At 53.2% G+C, this 22,686-nt stretch overlaps 4 annotated features.

Moving 5' to 3' along the window:
- Nucleotides 13,166–13,666: an enhancer, noted in NCBI's record as "H3K4me1 hESC enhancer chr1:19144000-19144500 (GRCh37/hg19 assembly coordinates)". NCBI's record gives its function as "activates a minimal SCP1, AML or CMV promoter by ChIP-STARR-seq in naive H9 embryonic stem cells {active_cell/tissue: H9 hESC(naive)}" and the evidence as "EXISTENCE:reporter gene assay evidence [ECO:0000049][PMID:30033119]".
- Nucleotides 15,363–15,872: an enhancer, noted in NCBI's record as "H3K27ac-H3K4me1 hESC enhancer chr1:19146197-19146706 (GRCh37/hg19 assembly coordinates)". NCBI's record gives its function as "activates a minimal SCP1, AML or CMV promoter by ChIP-STARR-seq in naive H9 embryonic stem cells {active_cell/tissue: H9 hESC(naive)}" and the evidence as "EXISTENCE:reporter gene assay evidence [ECO:0000049][PMID:30033119]".
- Nucleotides 15,873–16,382: an enhancer, noted in NCBI's record as "H3K27ac-H3K4me1 hESC enhancer chr1:19146707-19147216 (GRCh37/hg19 assembly coordinates)". NCBI's record gives its function as "activates a minimal SCP1, AML or CMV promoter by ChIP-STARR-seq in naive H9 embryonic stem cells {active_cell/tissue: H9 hESC(naive)}" and the evidence as "EXISTENCE:reporter gene assay evidence [ECO:0000049][PMID:30033119]".
- Nucleotides 16,561–16,739: a silencer, noted in NCBI's record as "fragment chr1:19147395-19147573 (GRCh37/hg19 assembly coordinates)". NCBI's record gives its function as "represses an EF-1alpha promoter that drives an FKBP-Casp9 reporter gene in an ReSE screen in K562 erythroleukemia cells {active_cell/tissue: K562}" and the evidence as "EXISTENCE:reporter gene assay evidence [ECO:0000049][PMID:32094911]".

Here is a 22,686-nt window from a genome sequence, read left to right on the forward strand (position 1 = left end):
AGGCCCTGTGCTAGGCACCTTACAAATGGCAAGTGGGTGATCCCACATGCCTGTGAGTTTAGCATTTTACAAATAGGGAAACTGAGGCTGGGGCAGCTCTCCATCACTGATTAATGACAGAGCTGCGTAGTAACTCGGGCTGGTCAGAGGTCCACCACACTTTGTCCGTCCAACTCCCTCATTACAAAGGTGTGGAAACTGAGGCCCAGAGAAGGGAGGTACCTTCACAAGGGACACTGCCAGGAGTACCGGGCTGGGTACAGCCCAAGAGGATTTGACTCTCAGGCTCGTTCTCAGTCTCCCCTCTGCCTTCCTTGGGAACGCATCCCTGACCTCCCCTATTGTTCTCTGCCTTGTTGTTCACCTCAACCCCTCCTCCCCTCCGAGAGCAGAGAGGTTTTCACGTGTACCGCTCCTGCTTGCGAACACACAGCCACCTGCAATCACTGTCAAAATTAGTCCACACGCATGCCCTGTCTCTAATCTAGCTCCCCGCGCCGATCTCATACCCTGTGAGTTTCCCAACATGCCCTGCCCTGCCGAGCCTCTGGGCTTTCACAGGTGCTGTTCCTGCAGCCTAGCTTGCCCTTCCCCTCACTGCCCGTGCCACCTCTGCACTGTAACTGCCTGCTGACTCTGTCTTGCTTTTGAAGTTCAAGCCCTAGCAGGGCCAGGGCTGGCTTCTCTCCTCTCTGGGGGACCCCAGGGCCTGCCACCCCTTCTGGAAGAGAAACCAGCATACTAGAGCAGTGGGAAAGCCCAGGCTTTCAGGGACCCCCACTCTTGTCACAGCCCTGTCACCCTGAAAATGTCAGCAATGCTCAGGGTCTGTGACTGTGACAGAGGTTCCCCAGTCCCCCTCCCCACCCCTATCACCCCCTTCACGAGGGACTGGAAGGATCCTCGGTGCTGAGCTTAGGGAGAGTGAGAGCGACAGGTGTTGCCCCTGCCAGCGGGGCCTTTCCCACATGCAGCCGCCAGCTGGGAAGATGGATGGGCCTTCCCGAGCCAGGGCCAAGGAACGGGGAGCTCATGTCGCCAGAGCTTCACATCCCTGGCTGGAAAGGGCCGTAAAACGTTCCGGGGCCAGACACAGGATTTGGGCCATTCTTCAAGTCATGGGGGATCCATTGTTTTGTTTTCTTTTTAAGGAAGAAAAAAGAGAGCAAGAAGGAGGAGGAGGAAAGACCATCTGCAGTGCTACCCCCAACCCCATATCCAGAGGCATGGCCGGGAGACACCAGCAGCTCCCAGAACGGACCCTGGTTCCATCTTTGACCTGCCCTGCCTCTAGCAAGCTCGGTTGACCTTGGGCCAGGGAGCTCTCTGGGCCTTAGTCACTCATCTGCCAGATGTATGGGATGATGCCCTCCCAGCTCTATTTTCTACAAACCAGGATTTATCAGGAGCAGAGGCAGGATTCCAGAGGAGTTTCTGAAAAGCCTCATCCAAAGCAGAGAAATTAGGCAGAGTGGGGAGAGGGTGAGAACCATTGAGAGGCTTCTCCCCTGAATCTGCGGACAACTTAGGCCCTTAACTAAATATTCAGGACTTCCCCTCTTGGGACTCGATTTTCCCTGCTGGGATATGAGTATGAAGGTTCCTTTGATTATGGAGAGGAGACTGAGTGCTTACAATGTGCCAGGCACACTGAAGCCCTGCGTTTAGCACAGCAGTGTCTATGCTGAGTAGAGGTGCTGACCTCCTTCCATACAGCAGGTGTGAAAGGGAGGCTAAGGCCTGCCCCGGGGTCATCCAGGAGTGAGCAGCAGGGATTTGCACCCAATATGCTCCCCTGCCTCCTCTGGCTGCCTGTGGGTGGCCTTCTCCGACCCAAAGAATGCAGAACCTAAGCAATGCTAAAGGCCCTGAGCCAAAGCCAGGAGCCCCTGGGGCAGCTCGTGAGGAGGGACCCTTAACCTGGGCCCAGCTTCCAGGGCTGGCCTTCCTGTGGCCACTGTGATGCCCACGCTCCAATGTGAAACCAGCAGCCGAGAGGCACAGACTCATCCCAGACCCTCCCCAATTCCCTCCCCAATCAGTTCTTGCCCTTCACCCCAGTCTGTGCTCCAGGCCATCTCTCCAACCCCTGCCTGGCCTTTTGCTCATTGCTTCAGAATTCAAGGAATCTGGGAGCATGTCCACCAGCCCCATTAGACTGTTATAGCTCCTTGAGGCCAGGACCTATCTTACTGCTTCCTGGAGCTTCCAGAGTGCCCAGCAGAGGGCCCACCAATGGCTCATTCATTCAGCAATTATTTATTGAGAACCTACTATGTGCCAGATGTAGGCCCTACTATGTGCCTGTGTGTAGGCCCTGGAATACAACAGGGAACAAGAAGCCACACCCTCCCTCACGGAGCTTACCTTCTAGAGGGAGAGATGGGCAAAGATGAAGCCACTGGGGACAGTGCTGAGGGCAAGAAGTGGAGGAAGGATGATAGGGTGGGTGGAGGAGAGGGGCAGGCTCTCTAAGGAGGTGATACTTCTGTATTTTTTTGAGAGACAGGGTCTCACTCTGTTGCCCAAGCTCAAGTGCAGTGACATGATCATAGCTCACTGCAGCCTTGAGCTCCTGGACTCAAGCGATCCTCCAGCCTCAGCCTCCCAAAGTGCTGGGATCACGGGCAACCACCACCATGCCCGGCCAGGAGGTGATGTTTAAACTGAGACCTAAAGCATGAGCAGGAGCCAGCCTGGCTCACTGTTTCCTGGGAAATGAGAGAAATTTAGACCAACTTCTTCTACTTACGCATGGGGAAACTGAGACCCAAAGGGGTCACACAGCCATTTAGAAGCTTGACCCCTGTACCCGGACTTGGGTTCTTTTCCTCCCCAGGAGCACAGGAGGAGGGAAGGGAGGGTCTCAGCCTGAGGCACAGCCAGGGGAAGAGGCAGGGGGTAGGGGAAGTGACAGGACTTCTAGCGCTGGGGGAGGGGCTGCCTTCCACCTGCTGGACACAGAGCCCCTCCCCATCCTAGACCCAAGGTTCCCCAAGGCCTGCCTGCCCACCCCACTGACCAGGCTTCAGAAAATTGATTTCCTAACAGCCATCCATCAACACGGCACCTCCAGCTGTTGGTGTGACACCCGTGTCCCCAGAGCCTAGTCCGCCCAAGGAAGCTGCTCCTGGAACGCCCTCCCTCACCCCTAAAATGACCTCTGTGATTCCAGGAACTGGTAACTGGAGACCCAAGACAGCACCTCCCCTGTGATTGCTCCTCCCCACCCCCACCCCCCATCACTCTGAAAGTGGTTTTCAACCGCTTCCCCCAGAGGCCCTCTGCAGCCTCACAATACTGGGTCTACTTGAATACCCCTCAGTGACAGGGTGCTCAGCCCCTCCTGGGGCAGCCCTGATGATAACTCAGGTTCCATTGATCGTGGAGCAACTGGGAGTGGTCATCACTGTAGTTAAGCCTCAAGGTAATTAGGCAAGGCAGTGTTATCCTTCTCATTTGAGAGATGACAACATTGAGGCTCCAAGGTCAACCGTTCTCCCCAAGGGCTGGCTCACCCCCAAAGGTATAGGTGTCACCCCTGCCTTCCCAGTTCTCCTTCCCGGTAGTAAACAAGTTCCTTCACCCCATGGCTCCTCCCACCGGCCTTGGTTCCCCTGAAGACCACATGGCATCTTCCCTAGGCTGCCCCTGGAAGGTCATAGCTGGGAGCAGTGGCTTCAAGCCAACTCTGAGCTTCTATTCCTTGGCCCGAGTCCCCCCAGCCTCCATTCACAGGGGAGACTGGACATCCATCTGATCACCTTAGCCCTGACAGCAACCCAAGATCCTGGAATGGCCCACAGATCCCCTTCCAGTGGCAGGAGGGAGGAAAGGAGATGGGAGGAGGGTGTTAGCCCTGGGATCAGCAGCTCCAGCTTAATTTGCAGCAATTTGCTGTATGATCTTGGGTAATAGAAACTCCTATCTGGGCCTCAGGTTCCAAAATGGAAACAGGAATTAAGAGGCTCTATGGAGAAGCTCTTCCTGGAGGAAGGAATCTGGTGTGAAGATGGTGGAGCCCAAGGCCAGTTTCACCCACATTGAAGACACTGGGACAACCACGGTGAGATCAGCAAGGGGTCAGCTGGGAGGTGAGGAGCAAGCCCAGAGAGGGGAAACAACTTGCCTGAGGTCACATAGCCACAAAGTAGAGAGACCTTGAGCCAGAACACAGATTTCCAGGTAGGGCCAAAACCATCCTCTAATCCATGGGCCTTTCTGCAGGTCTCTGGGAGCAGTCAAGACCCCAGAAGACCTTGTCACCTCCGTGTAAGTCCCTCTGTCACCCCTGAGGGACCTAGTTTGGTAGGGTTGGAGGAGAGGAGCTGTGCCCACAGCTGGTAGAAACAGGACCACAAAGGGTTAAGGCGCTGCCCGGGTCTGCTTGATCCCCCTAAGCAGGCAGGACCCCAGGCAGAGTCGGGGCTTGGGTTTCATGCCACCCCCACCCTGGTCTGGCTATAAAATACAATCGTGTCTCGCTGCTGATTGATGGTCTGGGGGAAACCTTGGGGAGATGGGCTGGGGCGAGATCAGATTTTCAAGGGCTCAGCCACTGATATTCTATCTGGGGCCTTCCAGAACCTGCCACCGGCCCATCTCCATGGGCCCTCCAAATCCTGGAGGAGGCAGGAGTAGAGAGGCAGTCAGATCACCCTCTGAGGCCACGCCACAAGGCAGAGGTGCCTGGGCTTACCTCCAGCCCTGAGAGTGGCCTACAGAGTCCCCTCCAGAAATCTCAGGAGACTTGCCTGGGTGGCTGTTCATTCATTCATTCATCCATTCATTCATTTCCCAAATACCTACTAGATTATTTCAGGCAAAGGGGTTCCAGAGGTGAGCCTCGGCCAGAGATAGTCCAGAGACAGCTCCTGGCCTCATGAAGTTTTCCATGTAGCAGGCCCAGAAGAGCACGATTCTGAGACTTCAGGCCCACCCCCAGCATCCAGGATTGAGGACCAGACCAAGACTGAAGCAACAACTGGGGCTTGGGCTCTGTCTCCAGGCTGATCTGAGTTTAAATCCCAACTCTGCCACTTAGGAACTACGTGACCTTGGGCACGTTGCTTAACCTTTCCATGCCTCATCTATAAAATGGGCAGGTAATAGCATCTACCACTTGGCATTCTGGTGTGGAACAAATGAAGCAATGAATCCAGAGTGCTTAACATCGAGCCTGGCATTGAGTAATTGAGTAATTATAGTTTCCCATTATGATTTTGGATTCTGGTAGACTGTCTGGCACTCTGTGTGAATGAATGAATGAACGAATGAAGCTGGTATGCCAGGATGTATTTGGTGCTTCCTACAAAATATCTCATTTAACCTCCACCATGATGGGGAAACTGAGGAGGCATTCTCAGAAGCATTCCCTTCCTCCTGCAAGCCCCAGGCCCTCAGTTTTGGCCTCGACTGGAGACTGACCACTTTCATAATGGGGGTCCCCATCTTTGTTCTCCCAGTCAATCAAGAGAGTGCTGGGGACAGAGGTGGTGCCAGTTTGTCTCTGAGACCTCTTCTTGCTCATTTGGCACCAAGCACACAGGAGGCATGAAGGAAAGGGAAGAAAGAAGAAGGCAGGAGGGAGATCAGAAAAGGGGACAGGGGCAGGGGTCCCAGCCAACCCAAGGGCCTTGGCTCCAGGTGCCTGCGCTCCAGGCACAGCTCAGACAGAAACCGTGCAAACCATTTCAGGTTCCTCTTTCTGCCCCCACAGCCATGGACATCCATACCCAGCAGGTGAGTTTAATATGCAGGCTTGAGGGTCCAGCTGCCTGGATTCCAGTCTCACCATCCTCTAACAATGACGTGAGCTTGGGTGAGTCATCTCCCCTCCCTGGGGCTCAGTTTTTCCCCTCTGTGAAATGGGAATAATAATAGTGAGATCCTGCAGACTTTTCCTTGCCTATTCACGCTGGCCCAGCCTGGTCATCTGAGCACAGCCTCCTCGAATGGTCTTTGAAGGAAAAGGAGCCCCGACCCAGCAGCTGGCCCTCAGCCCTGCCCCTCTTCTCCCCCTCTTCTCAGTACCCCCAATCCCCAGGCCCCAGGGTCCTTAATCCACCCCAGAGTGACATGGAGCAAGTGCTGTATCCCAGCGCCCGCCTGCTGCGAGGGGCGGAGGATCACACAGGCCGGGAGAAACCCTAGCTCCGCGTGCAGCCTGGGGACCCAGCAGACTGTCAACAGTAGATTAGACCCCACACTGTTCCCAGGATCCAAGAAGGGTGAGGGGGGCTCTCTCCCCCGAGTCCCTCCTAACTTTCTGCTGGGGGTGAGAGACCCAGGCGCCTGTCCCCAGAGCTTGGAAAGGCAGAACTGTTGAGAGAATTTATTCACTCATGTCACAGAGGCTCAGAGATGGAGAGGGGCTGGCCCACGGTCACAGAGCAGGCTTGTCCAGAGCCAAGGCCAGATCTCTGGCTTCCTTGCTCCCAGACCTTGCTGCTTCCTGCATCCCAGTCTAATGCCAGTGATTTGCCCTGACTGTGACCTTGACCAGGTCAACAGAGCTTTTCTTCCTCATTAACTTGTCAGCTACCAATGCACTGCCTCAAATACCCTGGACTGATCTATCTCCCCCTGCCGCAACCTCAGAAAGTCCCAAATCTCTTCAGCCAGGTGTTCTGTAGACAAGGGTCCACACTGGCCAGCTCTGGGCCCACGGCCATTTTATTTGAAGAGTGAGGGTTCTTGCACCATAGCTGTGGGAAATTTGCATTAAAATTCGCATTTCTAGCCTCTCTTAAAATAAACGTTCAGGCTACAGAGTTCCCCATCGTCCCTGCCTGAGCAAAAACCCTGTGTCGCACATTATTCTGGGTATGTCACATATATCAAGTCCTTTAGTCCTTATAACAATGGGAATTCCTATTCCATCAACAAAGAAACCAGACGCAGAGAGTGAGCTGGCACACAAAGATCATCTTCACAGCCTGGAAATGGCAGAAGTGGAACTCAAACCCAAGTCCAGTGACTCCAAAAACTCGGAGCTCCTACTGCTTCTCGTTCAAGGCAATGGGGTTACTGCCTCACAGCCCTGCAAACTGAAGTCTCAAATTCTCTCCAGTTCACATGGTTTTCTAGTTGACCTCTCCTTTCCTCCTCGACAATTGGCATGGAGCTGAGCTTAGAGAAGCTTCCTCCCCGAGTCTCTCTCCCTCTGGACTGACTTCCTGGGAAATGTCCTAGGGTCCAGATTGAACCCCAGTTTCCCTTTATTACCCACACTGTCACCATGATAGTGAGACAAACGCCAAGGGTCTGGCTTTGTGGGCACACCATGGTCTAATCCAGCTCACCTTCCTCCTTCATCTTTCTCCCTTCTCCTCCTGTCATCCCATGTCCCCAGGAAAACTAAGCCACTCCCCGATTCCACAGCCAGTTGCTCTTTCCTACCGCCTTCCCCAGCTCACACCAGACCCCCTGTCGGAAATTCTCTCCTCACTCCATTTCCCCTGGCCCTCAATTGTGTCCTCCCCCATCCCAATCACATGTGACCTCCTGCTTTCTCTTAGGCATAGATTTTGGAGCCAGACAGACCTGGATATGAATCCAGCTCTGCCATGTGCCAGCTGGGTTACCCTTAGGCGATGCACTGTCCTTGCATTCCTCAACTTCCCCATCTGTAAAATGGGTTTTTTTGATAATTCATCTCATCCTCTCTCCAACTGCTATTAATTCAATGAGGACTCGATGGGATGATGTTTGCAAAGCACCTCCCACATAGTAGGTGCTGCCTGGCTTGCATTAGACCATTGTCAATGTCTCTTCTCTTATGCTCTGCACTTTAAGCACCCTGAAGGCAGAATCTTATTTTTGTGCACTTTTTTTTGCCCTGGGCCTAGTAGGCCACATGGCACGTAGCAAGAAGTTCATGCTTTGAGTATTGCAGGAAGAAACATGAGTCTCAGTGTTTCAGGGATTAGGCCCAAAGTGTCCTTGGCTCACTGACAACAGCAGGGGTGGGGTCCCAGCCTGGGAGTGTCAGGCAGACAGGCAGGTGGCTAGAGAGGAAATGTCACCTTTGAACTCAAGGCGATCTTGGTCATGTAGTCAGTCAGTCAATCACTAGCTTATTGAGCACCTATGATGTGCTGACGTTGTACTAGGAACAGGGGTTACAGGAGTAAACAGAACAGATGAAGTCTTCGCTCTCAGAATGTTTATATTTTAGGTCAGGGAGACGGATCATAAACTCAAAAGCAAAGAAGCAAGTGAGATGATTTCAGATGTTGCTAAGCACTATGAAGACAGTCCAGCCCAGTGATGTAATTGGAGATCAATGTCAGCAAAGGCCAGGCTGAATCGACAGGGAGACAGCAGTGCATAAATGTGGGGAAGAACAATCCAAGCAGAAGAAAGAGCACATGCAAAGGCCCTGGGGTGGGAACAAGCTTGGCGGGTTCAAGAAAAAGGAAGGAGGGCATTTGTGTCTGACACAACAAGAGGGTGACAAGAATAATGACGAGAGTTGTGGGAGATGAGATCAGAGCAGAGGGAGACAGGGCTGCGTGGGGGCCTATGGGCTGACTGAAAAGCCTACAGTTTCTTCTAAAATTGGAGGTGAGTGACACGATCTGATTCCCACTAGTGGAAGTGTCCCTGGCTGCTTTGGGAAGAATGAATTGCCTGGGTTGGGGCGGGAGCAAGGATGGAGGCAGAAACAAGCAAAGAGGCCGTAGGTATCCGAGCAAGAAAAGATTGCAGCCAGGCCGGGCGCGGTGGCTCACACCTGTAATCCCAGCACTTTGGGAGGCCGAAGTGGGAGGATCCCTTGAGCCCAGGAGTTCAAGACCAGCCTGGGCAATATGGTGAAACCCTGTCTCTACAAAAAATACAAAAATCAGCCAATCATGATGGCCCACGCCAGTGGTACCAGTTACTTAGGAAGCTGAGGTGGAGGATTGCTTGAGCCCAGGAGGTCAAGGCTGCAATGAGCCATGATAGCGCCACTGCACTCCAGTCTGGGTGATGGAAAGAGACTCTGTCTCAAAACAGACAAGAAAGCAGCCAGTTTCAACATGGTACCCATGGAGACAGAGTCAAGATTTGGGAGACGTGAAGGAGGATGGGAGGAATTAAGGATGACTCCTGTATCGCCAGCAGGAGCCACTGGGTCTGTGAAGAGTTCACAATTCCTAGCCTGCATTCAGTGTCTAGGAAGATTTGCTACTATTATTATCTGCTGTGTGACTAAGCGAATCACCTCAATCGTCTGAGGCTCAGTGTCCACAAGTGTACAATGGATTCACAACATACACAGAGTGCGCAGTTAGGATCACACGAGATCATGGGCGTGAAGGGCTTAGTAATCTCTGAAATACTATAAAATAGAAACTACCAAAGCTATTAACTGTTTATAAAATCAAAAAGCTATGAAATGTTATTAGTATCCTCATTATTACTATTTCAAGGTTGGAGTTCCCGGCTGGTGAGCGGACATGTGGCACCCTGTGTAAGTAAGCTGAGCCAACGGAGTCTGTGTCCACTGTCCAGTTAAACTCCTTCCCCGAGACGGGGGCAGGATGAGGAGCAGCTTGGGCAATAGAGGAGGTTCCAGCTTTGGGGCCAGGAGCCTTGGGCCTGTTCCTAACTCAGCCACTGATTCTTGGGTGACCTTGAGCCACTTGATGCCCATCCTTCTCTGGGCCTCAGTTTCCCCTTCTATAAAGCAAGAGGGTAGGGCTAGAGGCCCCCAGTGGCCTTTCCAGCTGTGACCCTGTTAAAAGCTAGTTCCCTGGACAGGCGCGATGGCTCATGCCTGTAATCCCAGCACTTTGGGAGGCTGAAGCGGGCGGATCATCTGAGGTCGGGAGTTCGAGACCAGCCTGGTCAACATGGTGAAACCCCGTCTCTACTAAAAATACAACAATTAGCCAGATGTGGTGGCGGGTGCCTGTAATCCCAGCTACTCAGGAGGCTGAGGCAGGAGGATCCCTTCAACCTGGGAAGTGGAAGTTGCAGTGAGCCGAGATCGATCACTCTATCGCACTCAAGCCTGGGTGACAGAGCAAAACTCCGTCTTTAAAAAAGAAAAGCCTGTTTTTCTCCTCCCACTCTGTCATGCTCAGAAGTTTAGTCTCCCAGCACCTCCTAGGGAGGGCCAGCTGGCCACACCTGGGGATCGACTACCCAGAGCAGGCTCACCCACAGGCTCTTTCAGACCTCGCCTACTCCCCTCCCTAACCCCAAGTCGCCTCTGCTTGCCTTTCTCTTCCCACTTCCCCACCTGCTGACTCCAGCCCTGCCAGGGTTAATTGGCCCGCAGCTCCCACCCCTGCAGGAAAAGCAGAGAAGGGGGGCCCAGGCTCCCCCCACACCCGCCACAGCTGTCTCCCCACATCCAGGATAAACAGGTCCCAGGAGCCTGGGAGGAAGCGGACCACATTCTTGAGGGCCTTATGTCAGGCTGGCTGCTTCCCACTCCCCTCCCCAACCCACCAGCCCCCCATCAGCCCTCCAGACCCCTCCCTCACTCTCCCCTGCCAAGGCGGCTCAGCGGGCACAGAGCCAGCCAGGCCTGGGCATGAATCCTGGCTGGACAAGCTTCCTACCTTCCTTCTCGGTTTCTTCATCTGCAAAGCGGGGATAATTCCTACTTCAAGGGGGGACAGGATTCAACAAAGCTAATTTGCATATACAAAGTGCAGAGCACATACTAACAGCTAGGTTTTCCACGGGGCAGCTACGCCCTAGGGCCTACATACAAACTCACTTAATCCTAAACCGAGGCACAGAGAGGCTGAGTAGATTGCCTGAGGTCACACAGCACTAAGTGGTAAAGCTAGGATTCAAATCCAGGCCTTTCTGGCTCCAAAGTCCACAGGCTTAATTACACCGTGTCCACTAGATAAGGGGTAGTTTCCTTTGTCCCTACTCCCCCTGTCCTCCACTGCTCCCCACCCCGGTGGTCAACCCAGTGAGGGGAGAACCCTGGACAAGATGGGGGTCACACCGTGGCTTTCACCTGTGTCCCCTGAGCTGCTGTTCTGCCTCCTCTGGCTGTGTGGCATCGGGCAAGGTGCTGCCCTCTCTGTCATGACACACATCTGGGACACCAACATCAGAAGAGGAGGCACTGGCATGGAATGTGCTTTCTTAGACTTTGATGTATGCAGGTAACTAAGCTCCCAGAGCTGCTGGCCATGGGGGAAGGGAGGCTGGCGGCCAGAGATGCATCTGCAGATACATTTTAAACATGCAAATGAGAGGAAAGGAGGGATGTTCAGACATCCCTGTGTGATTCCTCAGAAATGGATCTCAACCCTGATGTCACACATGCCGGCCTGATTACCTCCGAGGATGCCTTCTGCAAGGTCAGCATCTGCTTGCTAAAATGAGGATTCAAATGCACTCGGTGTGTCCGTCTGTAAAATGGACACTAAATCAAGAGGCTTGAAGCCTTGGGGAAACCAGGGCCTATTTCTAGGGACAGAGACAGCCCAGGGTCATAGAGAAGGTCAGGAGTGGAGCTGGGACTAGAACCAGAGCTTGAGACTAAACATCAAGGTTCCTCTTCCTCTCCCGCCAGTCCCCCACCCCCAGCCCTGGCTCCCACCTCTCACTCTTCCCTCAGCTTGCAAGAAGCACCATCCCTGCGCTTACCCCTTTCCTGCCTCCTGGAACACCCAGCCTCGGAACCACCTCCCCCTGGTGCCTTCGCCCTGCTCCTCCTCTGATGGAAAGCACCCAGTTGACATCCAATCATGTGCCACCTTGTTTTTGTTTTTATTATTATTATTATTATTATTATTATTATTATACTTTAAGTTTTAGGGTACATGTGCACAATGTGCCGGTTAGTTACATATGTATACATGTGCCATGCTGGTGTGCTGCACCCATTAACTAGTCATTTAGCATTAGGTATATCTCCTAATGCTATCCCTCCCCCCTCCCCCCACCCCACAACAGTCCCCAGAGTTTTATTCCTACCATATGTGTGTGAATTTTCTATTTTATTCATGACTCCTGAAAACCAAGGGTCGTATTTATTTTTCCCCCAAATTTGCTGACACAAAACACATGCTGCTTGTTTAACCGACAATTGAATTAATCAGTCTTAAGCTTCTCTGTCACCATCACCATCATCAACATCATCAGCATCACTTCGCCCTGTCAACTGCCCCTGCATCAGGAAAAGCACCCACAATGGCCATCTTCATCCCCTTCCTCCCAAATGTCACCATCATCATCCCCAGGAATAGTAGCAGCCCTGGGGCCATCACCACCAAGCTATCATCCTAATGATGTCATTCCGCGCATGGTCACTCAAAACCTCACGTGGGCCAAGCACTGCGCTAAGAGCTCTCCAGGCATCTTCTCATTTAATCCTGACAACAGACCTAGTCCCAGCCATGCCCCAATGGAGTAGGTACTCTTATGGTACCTGCTTTACAGATGGGAAAACTGAGACACTGAAGGGTTTCTTGGATGCCTAAAGCGATAGGGGCAGGAGAGGAGCCCAGGTTTGCCTAACTCCAAAGTCCATTTTCTCAAACATGCTTTGTACCATCACCCCAAAGCCACAGCAAAATTGCCATTGTTTCCACTGCCAAATAAGCAACCAACATCAGCATGAGTATTTTCATTACCGCCATCATCAACACAGTCACCACCACTGCCAAGAGCTGTCACCTTTAGCCTCACCACCATCAGCTCCACCCACCCCACCAGCCACATGAGCATTCTTTACATTTTGCTCAGCTGACAGCCCCCAAGCACCATCACACATCAGAGACAGAAGAGAGACAGAGGAGCAGGCTTGGCCCCTGGCCTCAGAGAGCCTATTTCCCCTCCCCTCATCACGACCATTCCTTCCTCTCCCAGCCTCATCACCCTCATTACACAAAGGAAGGCCTGGAGCAGACCCATTCTCTTCCTCATGATTGCGGGGAGGGACATTGTCACGGCCAAAAGATCAGGCCTTTGAGTGGCTGTACTCAGCAAACATTCATCCGATAATTCATTCAATTCACTAAGCATTTATTGGGCATCACTGTATGAGCCCAACAGCTACAGAAGTAAAGAAAACAGAGAGGGCCTACTCGGATGGAATGAGGAGGACAGATGTCAAATAAATCACTACAGGAGGGATGGGGTGCCAAAGAGATGAGTTGATTGTAAAAAGGGGTGAAGTGGAACAACCTAGCCTAGTCTGGGAAATCCAGGAGGACTTCCTGGAGGAAGCACCAGCTAAGCTGAGACCCCAGTGCTAAGTGGAAGCGAGCTAGGCAAAGAGGAGAATATGCTGGGGCTACTAGGAAGGCGTTCTGATGGCAGGCACAGCATGTACAAAAGCCCTGAGCTGGGAAAGACTTCTGCTTTTAGAGCAACCAGAGGGAACCTAATGTGGCTGATGCCAGGTGACACGGGAATGAGGAGGTGACCAGAAACTGAGGAAGCCCTGCCAGCCTCATGGGGAGTGCAGCGGGGATGGCAGTGGAGGGCAGGGGGGCAGCTCTCGCGAGGACTTGGAAAAACAGCACCCAGCCCCGGAAGAGAGGGCATGGGCAACCCAGCGTGAGGCCCAGAGGAAGGAGCCCAGAGGGCCAATGGGGGCTGATGAAATGTTATGGACGGTGCTGAGCGATTATGCAGAGAGAATCGATTGCTCGGGCTGGTGCCTGCCTGGCACAGAGACACAAGCGCTGAAATGTCAGGCCTGTGATCTGAGAGTGCCACCCGGCAGCCGCTGAGCTAGACAGCCCCCACGGGTGCAGACCGAGCTGCGGGTGTGCAAAAAGAAATCCCAACGCCCCCCAGATGGAACTGTTGTCCTGGCAGGGCTGAGGCAGCAGGGATAGGGACGGGGCATCTCAGAAGGTTCTGGAGAGGAGGGGCCGGGTGGACCTGCTTTTCTCGGTTCTCGTGCATGCAGATAGCTCAGCTCCCAGAGACGCAGGCAGGAAGGGAGGGAGGCAGAAAGGCTGGGCCCCGTGCTAGAGAGATGCGTCTGCAGATACATTCTAAACATGCAAATCAGAGAAGGGAAGGGGCACTGGGAGACTTCCAAATGCCCACTCCCTGGGGCACAGTGTAGGGTGGAGGGAGGGCTGGAGGGAAGGCAGGTGGAGGGGGAGCTGAGGGAGGTGGGGGGGAGCTGAGGGAGATGGAGGAGGAGACCATGGGACCTCACGTGAGCCTGACCCCCTCCTGGCCATACCCCTGCCCCCAAAGCCACCTCTCTGCAGAACGGACTGGTTCCTGCCTCCCAGCCAAAGAAGGCTGGGTAGGCTGGAGCAACTCCCCAACACAAGCATCCTGAGCGCCTGCTATGTGTTACAGGCTTTCCCAGTTCTCAGGGATTCTACAGGGAGAAAACTGCCGTTAAGAGACTTCAGTGACTTGTGCCAGGCCATATGGGTCACTTAGTGATCAGCAAGATCACAACAGCTCTGACGATGTGACAGGCACTGCACAGAGCCCTCGCCTGCTCCATCCTGTTTCATCCTCACTGCTACCATCAGGTGCTCTAAGAAGCATCATTACCGTCATTTTACAGATGGGGAAACTGAGGCTCTCAGAGAAGCAACTTGACTGAAGTCATCCTGCCAATAACAGACCAGCTAGAATTCGAGCCCTGAGCTGGGATAGAGGGTCTATGCCTGGAGACCTCACTCCCAGGCTTCACAGTGGTAAAATAAGTCACCCCAGGCATAAGAAAATAAGCCGGGGAAAGAGCCTGCTTTAGGGTGGGGCCAAGGGGAAGGGAGAAACCAGGTAGAGGGCTTGCTCAACGGTACGGAGTTCAAATCACAGCTTCCCAGGCCCCCCGTGCCCTAAACGCACCGGCTCAGGGTGGCTTTTTTATAGAATCCCTGCCACATCCTGGTCTCCTTCTGCAGTCATTGGTCCCCATAGAGCATTCTCCACATTGCATCTGGTGATCTTTCAAGCACGAATCAGATCGGGTCCTCTCCTGCTTAAATTCTCTGGGTGACGTCCTGTTGCCCTGAGAATGAAATCCTGAGAGGCCCTGCCCCATCCAGCTCCTGCCCCCTCCCCATCCCTCTGTCCGGAAGATGCTTTCCCCAGAACCTGCTGCGGCTGCCCCTCCCCGACAGCCTCCCTCCCTGGCCACAAGCGGCCCCAGCCCCTGTCTGTCCAGTCGCCCCGGCCATTCTTCACAGCACTTACCTCACTTACTTCAGTCTCGGCGCTTCCCCGCTTCCCTTTATTGTGGGAATTTGGGCTTGTGCACTGGAGTTTGGGCTTCATGAGGGTGGAGAGCTGGCCTGTCCTGTTCCCCATGGCACCCCCCAGTGTCGCATAGTAGATGCCCAATAAACATTTGTTTAATGGGGAAGGGGCAGTGCCCAACAAGGTCTCTTGCATGCTGTCAGGGCATAGCATGCCTGGGCCGAGCCCGTTGCCTGGCAGATAGGGAAACTGAGGCTCTGAGGGGCTGACCCCACAGCTAAGGGCAGAGGCCAATGCTCTGAGGGAGCACTTAGCTCCCAAGCCAGGATTTTCCACTGCCCCAGGAGTCACGGGCTCCCTTCCCTCCTCTCATCCTTGCCACTCTCCCCTGCCTCTCCCCACCGGTGATCACCAGCACCACGTCTCTCCCTCCTGCCAGGCTGGCTTGAGGCAAAGGTGATTTGCTGACAGGGCCTGGGGCTGGACTTAGGTTCAACACCCAGCTCCGCCACCTCCTCGCTGACTGACCACAGGCAAGTTCCTCTACCTCCCCCAGCCTCAGTTTCCTCCTCTGTACTGTGGGGACGTCAAGGGTTGTTAGACGAGAGTGTGTGTGAGTGGAAAGGGCCCAGCAAGTGCCTGGTGCCGAGGACACTCATTTAACCCGTGATGAGAGTGGCAGTGCCATCTCCCCGCAGCTCGTGAGGACTGGCGCGCCCCTCCCCGATCCGGGCCAGGGTCTCTGCGCACTGGGTCCACCTGCTTCAGCCTTCACCCTCCTAACAAAGAGGTTGGTTGGTCTTTCCAGCCTGTCTACTCACACCCTCCCTACTACTCAAACCATTCATCATTCCTCCTGCTTCCTGTCCCATCAGCCCAGCCAAAAGGTTGTGATTACCACACAAGCACACGCACGTACCAAACACACGTGTGCACGCAAGCACAGATGCCTGTATGCACAGTCATAGACGCACACATCTCCCCACACACAGCCAAATAGTCGCCCAGAGGGACACGGCGTTGGGGTGCTTAACACGCACCCCCTCGCACACCCGCGTGCACACACGGGTCTCCGTGGGCACTGCGTACACACGAACCACAGACACTAGCACCTGTGTGCCTGCATTCACCCACACAAACCGCCCTGCTTTCGGCCCTTGCCTCTCTCCGACACCTGCAGCCTGGCAGACCCCGTGCCGTAGAGGTGACACAGAAACACACACTGGGTGAGTTAACAGTCGGGGCTGGCATTTGGCACCACACTCTGGATAGACGGGAACAGCCTGCACGCATGCACCTCCGTGTCTCTGCATCGTGTGTTTGTGTGTGTGTGTGTCTACCCAAGCGTCCAGCCTTGGGCCTGGAAGAGACGGGACTTCAAGCCCTGCCCAGCACTTCCAAGCACGGAGCCCCTGGCAGCGGCTCAGCCTCCCTTTGCACAGGAATGGGGCCAACAGCACCATCTGCTGTCAGCTTCTGGAAGTGCCCTGCAGAGAGCGCACACCTGGCTCTCGGATCAGCTTTCCAGAAGGACCTGGGCTGTGGCCGCTATCCTGACAACAAGCTGGGCCACAGGGACATCCCCAGTCCAGTGAACTAGAATGAGGCTGGTCTTCAGAACCACCGGGAAAATTTGTGTCCAAGTTAGGGACCACTCTCCTTGCGTGGATGGGGAAACAGGCCCAGAGGCAGGGAGTGACGGGGTCCATTGGTTGGCCCAGGGAAGAGGATCATAGCGATTTCATAGAGTTCTTGTTCTCCAGCTCCTCATTTTGGTTCATATCTTGACTGTGTTTCATGTTTTGACAGGCAGGGCACTGATTTAGGGGAGCCGCCCAGGAGGCAGGCAGGCTGGGGTGAAGTGATGGGATTCGCAGGTCCCCTGCCCACACCAGGCCTTGCCCTGGACAGGAAGGCCCGCTGCAGGAATCCTGTTCTCAGCCACACCGAGGTACACATACCTGACGCCCTGTGAGAAGGGCTGTGGACGGAGATAGGGAGGCCGAGGCAAGAAACAGCAAACGGAACGAGCGATGAGGAAGGCCAGGCCACAGGTGGATGGGGAGATGCTGAGGTCCTGCTGTGCTGGACTGAATGCAGATGGGAAGCAGCCTTAGCTTAGAGATGACCTGATCCAGATTGGGAGACTGAGGCCCAGGGAGGAGGGGTGACGGGCCCAAGGTCACTGGAGCCAACAGCCTGGCTAAGAATCGATCCAGGTCTTCTGGTTCCCAATCCAGAGCTCTTGCCTCTCGCGTGACTGGCTCCTTCCTTCCCCTGGGTTAAGAATTACTCTTTCCAGCGGAGCAGGGGCCGTCTTTTCACATCCCTGGCAAAAGTGGCTGAGATAAGCCCTTAAAGAGTCTGAGAAGCTCCCCCTCTTAGATCAAGAGGATCTAGGGAGCCTGGAGGCAGAGGAGACCTGGGGACTCTACCAGTTTCCTAAGTTCAACTCTAGGCCAACCCCTATTCCTGCCTCCCTTTTGTTAATGCATACATATCATGGACCGTTGGGGTTAAGAATTCACAATAATAGTAGTCATGATGCTATGGACTGAATGTTTATGTCCCCCAAAAATGCATCTGTTAAAATACTAATCCCTAATGTGATGGTATTGAGAGGCAGCGTCTTTGGGGGTGATTAGGTCATAAGAAGGGAGCCCTCACAAATGGGATTAGTGCCCTTCTTTTTTTTTTTTTTGAGACGGAGTATCGCTCTGTCACCCAGGCTGGAGTGCAGTGGTGCAATCTTGGCTCACTGCAAGCTCCGCCTCCCAGGTTCACGCCATTCTCCTGCCTCAGCCTCCCGATTAGCTGGGACTACAGGCGCCCACCACCATGCCCAGCTAATTTTTTGTATTTTTAGTAGAGACAGGGTTTCACCGTGTTAGTCAGGATGTTCTCCATCTCCTGACCTCGTGATCTGCTCACCTCGGCCTCCCAAAGTGCTGGGATTACCGGTGTGAGCCACCGCACCCGGCCCTTTTTTTTTTTTCTTTTCTTTTTTTTTTTTTTTTTTTTTTTTGAGACAGTATTTTGCTCTTGTTGCCCAGGCCGGAGTGCAATGGCACAATCTCGGCTCACCGCAACCTCCACCTCCCAGGTTCAAGCAATTCTCCTGCCTCAGACTCCTGAGTAGCTGGGATTACAGGCATGTGCCACCACACCTGGCTAATTTTGTATTTTTAGTAGAGACGGGGTTTCTCCATGTTGATCAGGCTGGTCTCAAACTTCTGACCTCAGGTGATCTGCCTGCCTCAGCCTCCCAAAGTGCTGGGATTACAGGCGTGAGCCACCAAGCCCGGCTGGGATTCGTGCCCTTCTAAAAGGGACCCCACAGCGTTCTCTCACCCTCTTTCCACCATGTTAGGATATAACAAGTCAGCAATCTGCAACCAGAGGAGGGCCCTCACCAGGACCCAACTATGCTTGCACCCTGAACTCAGACTTCCAGCCTCCAGAACTATGAGAAATAAAGGTCTGTTGTTTATAACCCACTCAGTTTATAATATTTTGTTATAGCATCTGAAGCTAAGACACATGATAATAGTAGCTACTGTGTGTTAAGTAGCCTGGAGACATCTCCCTGCAGTGATGGATTATTCTTATTTCATTTACAGCTAGGATAAGCCCAGGGAGGGGCAGTAGCTTACCCAACATCACAACACCCCAAGTGGCTGCAGCAGGATACACCCTGGGACACCAGCTTCAAGTCCAAGGCCCTCCCCACTGCTCCTCACCACTACATACAGGACAGGAAGAGTTTGTGTCCTTGAATTTGTTCAGCAGTATCAGTGCCCGACTGCAACAGGGGTACAAAAAACACAGAAGTTCATTGAACAAGTATTTAGTGAGCACCTACTATATGCCAAGCTCTGTCCCAAGTGCTGAGGGTACAGCAGAGAATAAAACAGACAAAACTGCCCTCTATTGGCAGGGGCATAGGGGACAGATAAACACAATGAGCTAGCAAACACGTATCCTGCCAGATGGTGACATGGGCTGTGGCGTAAAGTGGAGTATGGAGGGAGGATAGGGAGTGAGGGTGACGATACGCAGAGGGGGCCTCAGGAAGGTGTCACTGAGAGGGGAATGGCTGAGCAGAGGCCTGAAGGAGGTGGAGGAACCAGCCAAGTGAGTGTGCTTCTAGCAGAGGAAATGACCTGTTCAAAGGCCCTGAGGCAGGCCCATGGTTCATGTGTCTGAGAAACAGCAAGGAGGCCAGTGCCGCTGGAACAGAGGGGAAAGTAGATGAGATCAAGGAGGTTACCGGGAGACCAGGTAGGGCCTGTGACAAATCTGGCTTTTACCCAGATGAAATGGGAAGCCATTTTGAGCAGAGAGGTAGCAAAATCAGACTTGGGTTTTAAAGGGCACTTTGAAAGTCGTGTGGTTGTATTCATCCGTTTAATACTTTTGCATTGCAGATTAAGTTTCGTATTAGTTTGTTCTCACTCAGCTATAAAGAAATGCCTAAGACTGGGTAATTTACAAAGAACAGAGGTTTAATTGGCTTACATTTCTGCAGGCTGTACAAGAAGTATGGAGGCTTCTGCTCAGCTTCTGGGGAGGCCTCAGGAAACTTACAATCACGGCGGAAGGTGAAGGGGAAACAGCTTTGTCTTACATGGCTGGAGTAGGAGCAAAAGAGAGAGATGGGGGAGGTGCTACATACTTTTAAACAATCAGATCTTGTGAGAACTCACTCACTATGCAGTACCAAGGGGAGATGGTGCTTAACCACTCATGAGAACTCCACCCCCATGACCCAACCATCTCCCACCAGGCCCCTCCTCCAACACTGGGGATTACAATTTGACATAAGATTTGGGTGGGGACACAGATCCAAACCATGTAAGTGGTTAATAGATTTTACAGGGCCAAGGACAGAAGCATGGGGGCTACTGAGGAGCTGCCCAGCACCCAGGGGTGATGAGCTGGAGAGTTAGGCTAAGGTTGTCAGGGTGGAAGAGGTGCAAAGTGGTCAGATCTGTGAAATGTTTTTGAAGGTAGACACACACACACACACACACACTCATACACACACACACACGGGAGAAGCCTGTGAGCCACGCTTAGCTGTAATGGGACCCGCCATACCTGACCATCCATGCTTTTTCATGCAGTACCCAGTGATCAGACTACATAGGTCAGAGAACCCGTCAGACAAGCTGATGGTGATGCCTGGCAAGGCTGCTCAGGGGGCCTGGCGTGGTTTGTCCACTTCACTCTTGCCCCACAGCAGTGCTTGTGCCACTGGGAGAAACAGCTTAAATCCTCAGCCCTTGTCCAGCCTCTTCATTATGCAAGTGGGGAAACTGAGACACCAAGAAGCAAAGGGACTTGACACTCAGGGAGTCAGAACACAGGCACAGTCTCCTGACTCCCTGTCCAGTGCTCTCTCGTACCACAAGCCCAAACTTGCCCCTCAGGACTGGGTGACAAGGACACAGGGGCTTGGTCAGGCCTGCACAATCTTTTCTAGAGAAGGGGGTGACGGTGAGGGGCCTTGGCCTCCAAACTTCATCCCCACTTCACTCCATCCCACAGGCTGCTCTGCCCAGCCAGAATGTGGGTGAATCCCCTAATGACCCAAATCTGACAAGGAGCAGAGTCCGTATGTTGCCAGCATAAGAAAGGACAAAAGAAGAAGCCTTAGCCTTTGGCCCCTAACTGGAGGCTTAATGAAGGCATCCAGCAAGAAAGGAAAGGGTCAGCATTAGTATCTTTGTCAACATCACCACCACCACCATCACCATCACAATTACCAACATCACCACTACCACCATCATTATCACCATCACCATCACCATTACCAACATCATCACTACCACCATCATTACCACCACCATCACCAACACCACTACTACCACTACCATCAACACTACCACCATCATTATCACACCACCATCACCATCTCCAACATGGTAACCACCACCGCTATCACCACCTCAATACAAAAAACAACACCATCATCACTACCAACACCAATACCAATACTCTACCACCACCACCACATCACCATCGCCATGACCAACATCACCCCTACCACCGTCATTATCACCATCACCATCACCATTACCAACATCATCACTACCACCATCATTACCACCACCATCACCAACACCACTACTACCACTACCATCAACACTACCACCATCATTATCACACCACCATCACCATCTCCAACATGGTAACCACCACCGCTATCACCACCTCAATACAAAAAACAACACCATCATCACTACCAACACCAATACCAATACTCTACCACCACCACCACATCACCATCGCCATGACCAACATCACCCCTACCACCGTCATTATCACCACCACCATCACCAACACCACTACTACCACTGCCATCAACACTACCAACATCATTATCACCACCACCATCACCATCTCCAACATGATAACCACCGCCGCTATCACCACCTCAATACAAACAGCAGCAACACCATCATCATCTATCAACACCAATTCCAACACTCTACCACCACCACCACCACCATCACCATCACTACCAATATCATTAGGATCTCTAACACCATCACCATCATCATCACCACTAACACCATCAATACCATCAACACCTCTTCACCCTCATCACCACCGTCACTGAGCCAGATCTAGTTTGGGTTGCACTGGAGAACAAAGAGGACCCCCTGTAGCTAACACTGAAGCCAGAAAGCTTCCCAGATAGACTGTGCATGGGCTGGGCATCTGCCCCGGGGAGAGCCAAATGGCTATCGGTCGTCAGGGACATGGAGCTGGAATGGCAGGAGATGGGGTTGAGTTAGGACTGGGGAGTAGAGGCAGCAGACACGAGTCTATCCAGGGCAGCCAACAGGCTGGCTAGGAGAAGGAGGGACTAGGGAGTCTAAGGAGTGAGAAGGCAGCTGGCAGCTGTTCGGATGGAATGTCAAAGAGGGAAAGAGAACAGCCCCTACAGGAGCCCGTTCATGAGGTGAAGAGCAGGCCAGGAGTGGGTGGAGTGCAGCAGGCAGGTAAGCATAGCCCAGTTGAATGAACATCACCATTACACCTCCACAGCATCCCACTCTCTAGCACAGCCATGGCCACCATCACCATGACAACCAGCCTGAACAGCACCTTCCCCATAGCTATGGACTCTCTCACATCCCCCAGTGACCACCACCACGACTGAAGCAGAGACTGCTCTTGCCCATCAGCAGTCACTGTACCCTGCTGCCTTCAGAGCTCCCAAGTTTATCTGGGCATAGGAATGCTGTTGCAGGTTGGCTTGCCCTGCAAGCAGACCCTGAGATGGAGATCAGCAGGCAGATGGGCTGGGGGTCGCCCTTGGGGTCAACACACGTGTAGGAGCAGGAAAAGAAATGGAATTGGACAAAGGGACATGCTGGCTTCATGCCGTCTCAGATAAGGCCTTGGCTGACCCCACAAGGACCTGTGAAGACCGGGTAGCCCTTCAGAATTGTGCAGGTTGTGACACTCCCATGCCATCAAGCCACTGTGTGCAGGCTACCCCCAGGTAGGGAGCATAACCTTGGGTAG

This window comes from Homo sapiens, chromosome 1 (assembly GCF_000001405.40).
Source record: "Homo sapiens chromosome 1, GRCh38.p14 Primary Assembly".
In the NCBI taxonomy this organism is placed as follows: domain Eukaryota; kingdom Metazoa; phylum Chordata; class Mammalia; order Primates; family Hominidae; genus Homo; species Homo sapiens.